Genomic DNA, 8,303 nt, shown 5'->3' with positions numbered 1-8,303 from the left:
ACTAAAATTATAGTATAGGCACAATACTGACAAGAATAGACCAAAAAATGAAATTGTATTAGTCTTTTCTCATGCTGCTATAAAGAACTGCCCAAGACTGGGTAATTTATAAAGAAAAGAGGTTTAATTTAAGAGGTTTAACTCACAGTTCTACAGGGCTGGGGAGGTCTCAGGAAAGTTACAATCATGGTGGAAGGGGAAGCAAACACATTCTTCACATGGTGACAGGAGAGAGAAGTGAAGAGTGAAATGGGGAAAAGCCCCTTATAAAACCATCAGACCTCATGAGAACTCAATCACTATCATGAGAACAGCATGGGGGAACCAACCCCATGATCTAATCACCTCCCACAAGGTCCTGCCCCCAACACGTGGAGATTACAACAGGGATTACAATTCAAGTTGAGATTTTGGGTGGAAAGACTACCAAACTATATTATTCTGCCCCCGCCTCCTCCCAAATCTCATGTCCTCACATTTCAAAATACAATCATGTCTTTATAACAGTCCCCCAAATTCTTAACTCATTCCAGTATTATCTCAAAAGTCCAAGTCCAAAGTCTCGTCTGAGACAAGGCATGACCCTTCCACCTATGAGCCTGTAAAATCAAACGCATGTTATTTACTTTCTAGGTACAATGGGGGTACAGGCATTGGGTAACACCTCTTCCAAATGGGAGAAATCGGCCAAAATGAAGGTGCTACAGGCAGACACCATACAAGACCAAAATCCAGCAGGGCAGTCATTAAGCTAAGCTTAAAGTTCCAAAATGATCTCCTCTGGCTCCATGTCTCATGTCCAGCTCATGCTGATGCAAGAGGTGGGCTCCCACAGCCTTGGGCAGCTCTGCCCTTGTGGCTTTCCAGGCCACAGCCCCACTCCCAGCTGCTTTCATGGGCTGGCATTGAGTGTCTGTGGCTTTTCCAGGTGTGTGGTGCAAGCTGTTGCTGAATCTACTGTTCTGGGGTCTGGAGGATGGTGGCCCTCTTCTCACAGCTCTACTAGGCAGTGTCCCAGTGAGGACTCTGTTTGGGGGCTCCAGCCCCAGATTTCTCTTCCACATGACCCTAGCAGATGTTCTCCATGAGGGCTTTACCCCTGCCCCAAACTTTTGCCTGGACATCCAGGCATTTCCATACATCTCCTGAAATCTAGGCGGAGGTTCCCAAACCTCAATTCTTGACTTCTGTACACTCACAGGCTCAACACCATGTGAAAGACACCAAGGCTTGGGGCTTGCACCCTTTGAAGCAATAGCCTGAGCTTTCCTTTGTCCCTTTTACCCACAGCTGGAGCTGAAGCAGCTGGGATTCAGAGCACCATGTCCCAAGGCTGCACAAAGCAGGGGGGCCCTGGGTCCTGCCCAGGAAACCATTTTTCCCTCCTAGACCTCCAGGCCTATGATAGGAGGGGCTGCTGTGAAGGTCTCTGACATGCCCTGGAGACATTTTCCCTGTTATCTTGGTGATTAACACTTGGCTGCTTGTTAGTTATGCAAATTTCTGCCGAGGGGTTGAATTTCTCCCCAGAAAATGGAATTTTCTGTTCTATCACATCATCAGGCTGCAAATTTCCCAAACTTTGATGCTCTGCTTCCTCTTGAAAGCTTTGCCACTTAGAAATATCTTCCACCAGATAGCCTAAATAATCTCTCTCAAGTTTAACATTCCACAGATCTCTAGAGCAGGGGCAAAATGCCACTAGTCTCTTTGTTAACGCATAGCAAGAGTGACCTTTACTCCAGTTCCCAACAAGGTCTTCATCTCCATCTGAGACCACTTCAGCGTGGACTTCATTGTCCATATCACTGTCAGCATTTTGGTCTAAGCCATTTGACAAGTCTCTAGGAAGTTCCAAACTTTCCCACATTTTCCTGTCTTCTTCTGAGCCCTGCAAACTGTTCCAACCTCTGCCTGTTAACCAGTTCCAAAGCCACTTCCACATTTTCTGGTATCCTTATAGCAGCATCCCACTACCTCAGTACGAATTTACTGTATTAGTTCATTCTTACACTGCTGTAAAGGACTGCCCAAGACTGGGTGATTTATAAAGAGGTTGTAATTGGCTCACAGTTCCACAGGGCTGGGGAGGCCTCAGGAAACTTACAATCAAGGCACAAAGGGAAGCAAAGACGACCTTCTTCATAGGGTGACAGAACAGGAAAGTGCAGAGTGAAGAGGGGAAAAGCCCCTAATAAAATAATCAGGTCTCATGAGAACTCACTCACTATCATGAAAACAGCATAGGGAAACTGCCCCCATGATCTAATCACCTCCCACAAGGTCCTGCCTCTGACATGTTGGGATTACAATTTGGATTACAATTCAAGATGAAATTTCGGGTGGAGACACAGCCAAACCATATCAGAAATAGAAGGCTCAAAAACATTAATATGTATGAGAATTGACATGTAACACAAACCGATGGAGAAAGAATAAATCATTTAGATGTTAATATTGGAAAAACTGGTACACAATGTGGTTGGGAAAGTTTGAATCTCTTTCTTACAACATATTCAAAGGTTCACTCCATATGGATTAAAGACCTAAGCATGAAAAAAGAAAATTATAAAATTAATAGAAGAAAATATAGAATACCCTTGCAATCTTGAAGAAAGAAAAGTCTTCCTACAGACAGCTGCAAAAATGCAAATCTTAAGGAGAAAGAATTTATTTAACTATATTAGATTAAAGATCTCCGTTCAATGAAAGACACCTTAAAAAAAGCAAAAGTGGTTAAAGCGGAAGTATTAGTAATGCCTAAAAACAAGAGATAAATACTTAAAATATACAAAAGTACATCTGATAATCCAGAATAGTAAAAAAATGGGCAAGGATATAAACCTGCAATTCAAAGTAGGAAACTAAATGGTTAAGAAGGTATGAAGAGATGTTTCCACTCACTAGTAATCAAAACATACAAAGTACAATCATGGTGAAATACTATTTTGCACCTATCAGATTGTGAAATGACTCAGGATGGGGGCTGACTACATCAGAAAGATCAACCATGAAATTAAAGGATTGAGATTTTGAGCCACATGATATCAGCCTGACATCCTGTGATGGAAGTGGGGACTAGAGATTGAGTTTAACTGCATGGTCAATTATTCAAGCAATTATACCTAGTAATGAAGCCTCAATAGACTCTGACACTGAAGTTTAGGTGAGCTTAGGTGATCAGCAGCACTCTGTGTATTATCACACGTTGATGTGCCGGGAGGGTAATGCATTCCTGAGGACAATGTAAGCTTTGTGTTTGGAACCCTGCTGGACTTTGCCTTATGGCTCTCTTTGGCTGATACCAATTTGTGTTCTTTTGCTATAACAAAACTATAATAAGAAGTATAACGCTTTCCTGAGTTCTGTGAATCATTCTATAGAATTGTGAAACCTGAGGGGAGAGTGAGAACTTCCAAATTGTAGCCAGCTGGTTAAAATGAAAGTGGCCTGGAGGCCCCCAAATTTGTGGCTCGTGGTGTCTGAGTAAGGGCAGTCTTGTGAAGACCTGTGTCCTTAGCCAGTGAAATTTGACCTCTGCAGGGAGTTCGTGTCAGAAATTATTGCAGATGCATATGACAACAGTGAAACCACCCAAACATTTAACAATAGAGTGTTAATAACATGGACTGAATACCTTGATTTATTCAGCATTAAGGTAACACATAATATATTAATGGATGAATAATACTTTAAAATGGGATTCTAGATATATTAAGTGACAAAACCAAGATCAAACATTGTTATTCAATAACTCCAGTTTTTTAGGAAAATATGCATGTATCTCTTGGCAGGGTATTAAATTATTTTTCCTTCTCTTTGCCATTTCTAATTTTACTTCAATAAACATTATTTTTCTAAGAAGAATAAAATGCCGTTCTGGACATTTTTAGGAGTACATTATTATAAGTATACTTTTTACTAATTTTTACATGTTATAATGTGTTTCTTTTTCCATATGCTCAATATTGCTAACCTAAAGTCTGTCAAGACCCGCTGGTGAGCCCTAGTCTAGGCTCCACGTGAATGTGGTTATAGCTCAGACTCAGATCCTTGCTTTCTTGTTTGCTCAAGCATTCAGGGCTCATGACATGGTCTTCAGCATTTGGTCTTCTGTCTTTTTGCATTTTCAGGGACTTGGCTCTCATCTCACAGAGCTCTTCCTCTAGAGGAACTCTAGCAGTGGAGGGGATCATATCTTGCAAATGGTATGTGAGAGAGGGCCCTTGGAAAACTGCCATCTATCCAGCTCACCTTGACCTACATCTCTGAGGCAAAATTTGAACCTAGACCGTCTCCAAAAGTGGGGCTTTCCATGTAACTCATAGAAAGGATAGGGAGGTATATGGGACTGAGCACACTTTGTGACATAATCATTCCATGTGATGTGAATCCACCTGGGAAAGAGCTGGGCCACTTTACTAGCTTGTTTGTTCTAATATTGATAGACTATTCTTAGTTAGACAATACTGCTCTGTAGAAATAATAAAAGCAAGCTAAAATTTAGAACATCAGATGTGGAATTTTTGTTTCCCTTCACACTTCTTTTAATTTAAAGATAAACTTTCAAAACTGTATTAGTGATGCTGAAAAAAAGGAAAAGACAAATAAACTTGTCTCTTAAAAAATCATCTTTACATACAACCCTGTTTAGGCTAATTCTGCCTTTGATTTTGTAAGTATTTTTATTGCCTGATAAACTAGTAAATTTCTAATGGTGATATTATGGGGTTTTTAAATTATCAGGTTTAAAATATTAGCTAGCAGGTAATTTTGTGTATAACAATGTTGGAAAAATTCTGTGAAACTACTGTACCTAGGTCTTACATTATTTAATTTAATAGCATAAATATATGCACCTCATTTTCTTATCTCTAAAATATCACTTTCTAAAGAAATTGTGTGAGAATATGAGTTTAGAAGAGTGATCTTGTGCTGTAATTGGAAATTCTACACACTATTTCTGGCCCTTGCTTTAACAAACTGAAGCAGGAGTACAATTTTTTTAAAAAAGAAAATGACCTTGGCAAAAGATTTTCCCTTTGTATTCTGCCCTTGTTGGTTAATAATCTATTAAAGATAATGAGCACTGTACTAGGTGCTGTGGGGAGTCACAGGAAAGACAGTCTCATTGCCCACCCAGAAGGGGCAATGGTCATGACTTAAATGCTGCTTGAGGTAAATCGCTCTTCTTATGCCCCAATGGATGATCTGTTTTATTCTGAGCCCGTAGGGTCTCAGGAACTCCTTTAAATTGGAGATTTTCTTACTTTTCTTTCTTTCTTTTTTTTTTTTTCCTTTATGCACCCATCCCTACGCTTCCACACATATTTCCTTTCCTATTCAGTTAGCTCTGCTTTAAGAAGAGATGAAGGGGCCGGGCACAGTGGCTCACACCTGTAATCCCCACACTTTGGGAGGCTGAGGCAGGCCGATCACTTGAGGTTAGGAGTTTGAGACCAGCCTGGCCAACATGATGAAACCCAGTCTCTACTAAAAATACAAAAATTAGCCAGGCATAGTGGTGGGCACCTGTAATCCCAGCTACCCGGGAGACTGAGACAGCAGAATTCCTTGAACCTGGGAGGTGGAGGTTGCAGTGAGCTGAGATGGCGCCACTGGACTCCAGCCTGGGTGACAGTAGAAGACCCTGTCTCAAAAAAAGAGAAGAGTTAAATGGAAAAAGTTTTGTCGGAATGAAAAAAGCATACAAAGCTGCACTCTAATTTTTTACAGTCCTAAGTCAGTATTTGACTACAAATATTGACTTAATATTGTAGCCATATTTTTTTTGCTTGATAAGGTTTTTATTCTTTTGCACCACCAGGACCTCTAGTCCATTATCTCTATGAGCTTTTCACTGTCACTATCTTTTTACCAACCTTGGATTCTATAGTCTACCTTTAGCAACACCTCTTTGAATGAATTCCTTTGCTAGTCTCTTACCAAATAATATCTTCCCAACACAGTCCCAACTCTAGTTACATCCAATTCTTTAACTACATGGTGCTTGTATCTATTTAGCTGAGTATTGCCAGAGGAGACCATAACATAATTAACCATCTCACATTAAATTCTTGACCACAAAACTCTTAAGTGGGACCTTTAGGGCTACTTAATAGACATCCTGTTTGATATTTCCCTGGACATTTCATTTCCCATTTTCCCTTAAACAATGATTTCACACTTCTTCCTTTCACTTCAAATCTCTGATGCCTCCTCCTTCTCCAGAGTATCAGACAATGACTTATTTTTTGTTTCACTGACAAAATAGAAGCAATCAGAAGAACTTTGCAATTGTTGCTATTATTTGGTTTGCCAAATGCCCTGCACCTAGACCCTTGTATTTTGCCATCCCTCTGGTTATGTGTATTAACTACTAGTCCTTTTATCTGAAGCCAACTCCACTTGAGTTTTCCTCTAACCTACTCAGAAACTTCACTCCTGCATTGTTTTCCCCCTCTACATGATAATTGTCTCTGGTTTGCAAACATGTGATACTGTCTCCCACTGAACTCACATCTCTTTGCAGCCATTGTTCTGTTTTTCTAAATCAGGGTGTGGGTGGGAGTTTATTAAACAGAAAATCAGAGAAAGCTTTTCTTGTAAAGTAACCTCTAGCCTGATAACTTGACTTGCCTAATGAATGACTCCAGTATGAAAATGTAAATGGCTGGGCTGGGCGCGGTGGCTCATGCCTGTAATCCCAGCACTTTGGGAGGCTGAGGTGGGCAGATCACTTGAGGTCAGGAGTTCAAGACCAGCCTGACCAACATGGTGAAACCCTGTCTCTACTAAAAATACAAAATCAGTCGGGTGTGATGGTGCACGCCAGTAATATCTGCTACTAGGGAGGCTGAGGCAGAAGAATAGCTTGAACCCGGGAGGAGGCGGAGGTTGCAGTGAGCCAAGATCATACCACTGCACTCCAGCCTGGGTGTCAGAACAAGACTCTGTCTAATAAATAAATAAATAAATAAATAAACAAACAAACAAACAAACAAACTCTCCATTCTCATCCTCTACACCATCCTGCTCCACAAGCATCCTTTCCCAACTACATTCTTTTGAATGCTCAGACAATAACCATGGTGTCATCCTTGCCTTTCTTCTTTCTCTCACTCATGTTAAAGTATAATTTTCCAAAGAAAGCATAGCTGTCATGCAAGTATAAAATAAAATAAACATATGTCAAAGACACATTAAAGAGGGAACCAGTAAGGTGTATTTATAAGCTTGCTAACTAAGAAATAAATATTAGAAAAGGATTGCTATGTTAGATGTAAAACTGGTTAGTATCCCATAGAGCAATAAAGTATAATTTGGGGGTTATCTTTTTCACTAGACAATGGTTATTTGAATATCTATTGGACAGACATCTCCAAATTGTCCTGTAATTTTACTAAACCTGGTACCTTTAATCCAAAATTCTTACACTGAGATAACATTTAAATGGGCCTTTGTTCCCATAAGACATTGAAAGGATATGCCATCCTTTCAATAAGGCCATCCACCTCTTGCCTTATTTCCTAAGTTTCACATAATTTTAATTAACACCCAACTTGCAAACCATCAATAAATTCTGTTGGTTCTAACATAAAAATATTTTCAGGATTCAAATATTTCTCTCCGTTTTTGGTATCATCCTGATTCAGGTCATCTCTTGCCTAGCTATTTGCAAGTTTTCCCTATCTAGTCTCTCTGCTTTTTCCCTTGCTTTTCTAATTTATTCTCCATAGCAAGGGCAGAGTGATCCTGACCCATTAAAATCATTTGAATGGTTTACTGTTTCACTCAGAATAAAATTCAAAGTCCTTACTTTGGTCTAAAAGATATGATCCTCTTATTCTGGCTAATTTCCCGATTTTATCTCCTCCATTCTACCTTAGTCTTCTTTCTTATACTCAAAGAGGCAATTATCCTGCCTTAGGGATGTTCTTGCCTAGAAAGCTCTTATTCCCAGCAACTTAGAAAGCTTCTATTCCTAGCTTTCTGTATGGCTCACTTCCTCACTTCATTTGGGTCTCTCTCAAATGTTACTTTACAAGAGAAGCATTCTCTGATTTCCCGTTTAATAGACTCTCACTCCTTGCCCTGATTTATTTTTCTTTATAGCACTTATTACCACCAACATACTATAAATTTATGTTCATGTATTACCAGTTTCTGCCTCCTAGAATGTACATTTCATGGGAGTAAAAACTATATTTTGTTAATATAAGCCCAGTACATAATAGGTATCAATAAATATATGTTGAATGAAGAAATAAATATAGAGTTTTTTCTTGGAAATAATCTCATAG

The 8,303-nt window shown here is 39.6% G+C and overlaps 2 annotated features.

The window, feature by feature from the left end:
* Positions 3,150 to 3,444: an enhancer, noted in NCBI's record as "tiled region #10294; HepG2 Activating DNase matched - State 5:Enh". NCBI's record gives its function as "activates a minimal TATA promoter and a strong SV40 promoter by Sharpr-MPRA in HepG2 cells {active_cell/tissue: HepG2}" and the evidence as "EXISTENCE:reporter gene assay evidence [ECO:0000049][PMID:27701403]".
* Positions 3,150 to 3,444: a silencer, noted in NCBI's record as "tiled region #10294; K562 Repressive non-DNase unmatched - State 24:Quies". NCBI's record gives its function as "represses a minimal TATA promoter and a strong SV40 promoter by Sharpr-MPRA in K562 cells {active_cell/tissue: K562}" and the evidence as "EXISTENCE:reporter gene assay evidence [ECO:0000049][PMID:27701403]".

This window comes from Homo sapiens, chromosome 3 (assembly GCF_000001405.40).
Source record: "Homo sapiens chromosome 3, GRCh38.p14 Primary Assembly".
NCBI lineage: Eukaryota > Metazoa > Chordata > Mammalia > Primates > Hominidae > Homo > Homo sapiens.
This window is presented reverse-complemented; position numbering and strand designations above follow the sequence as displayed.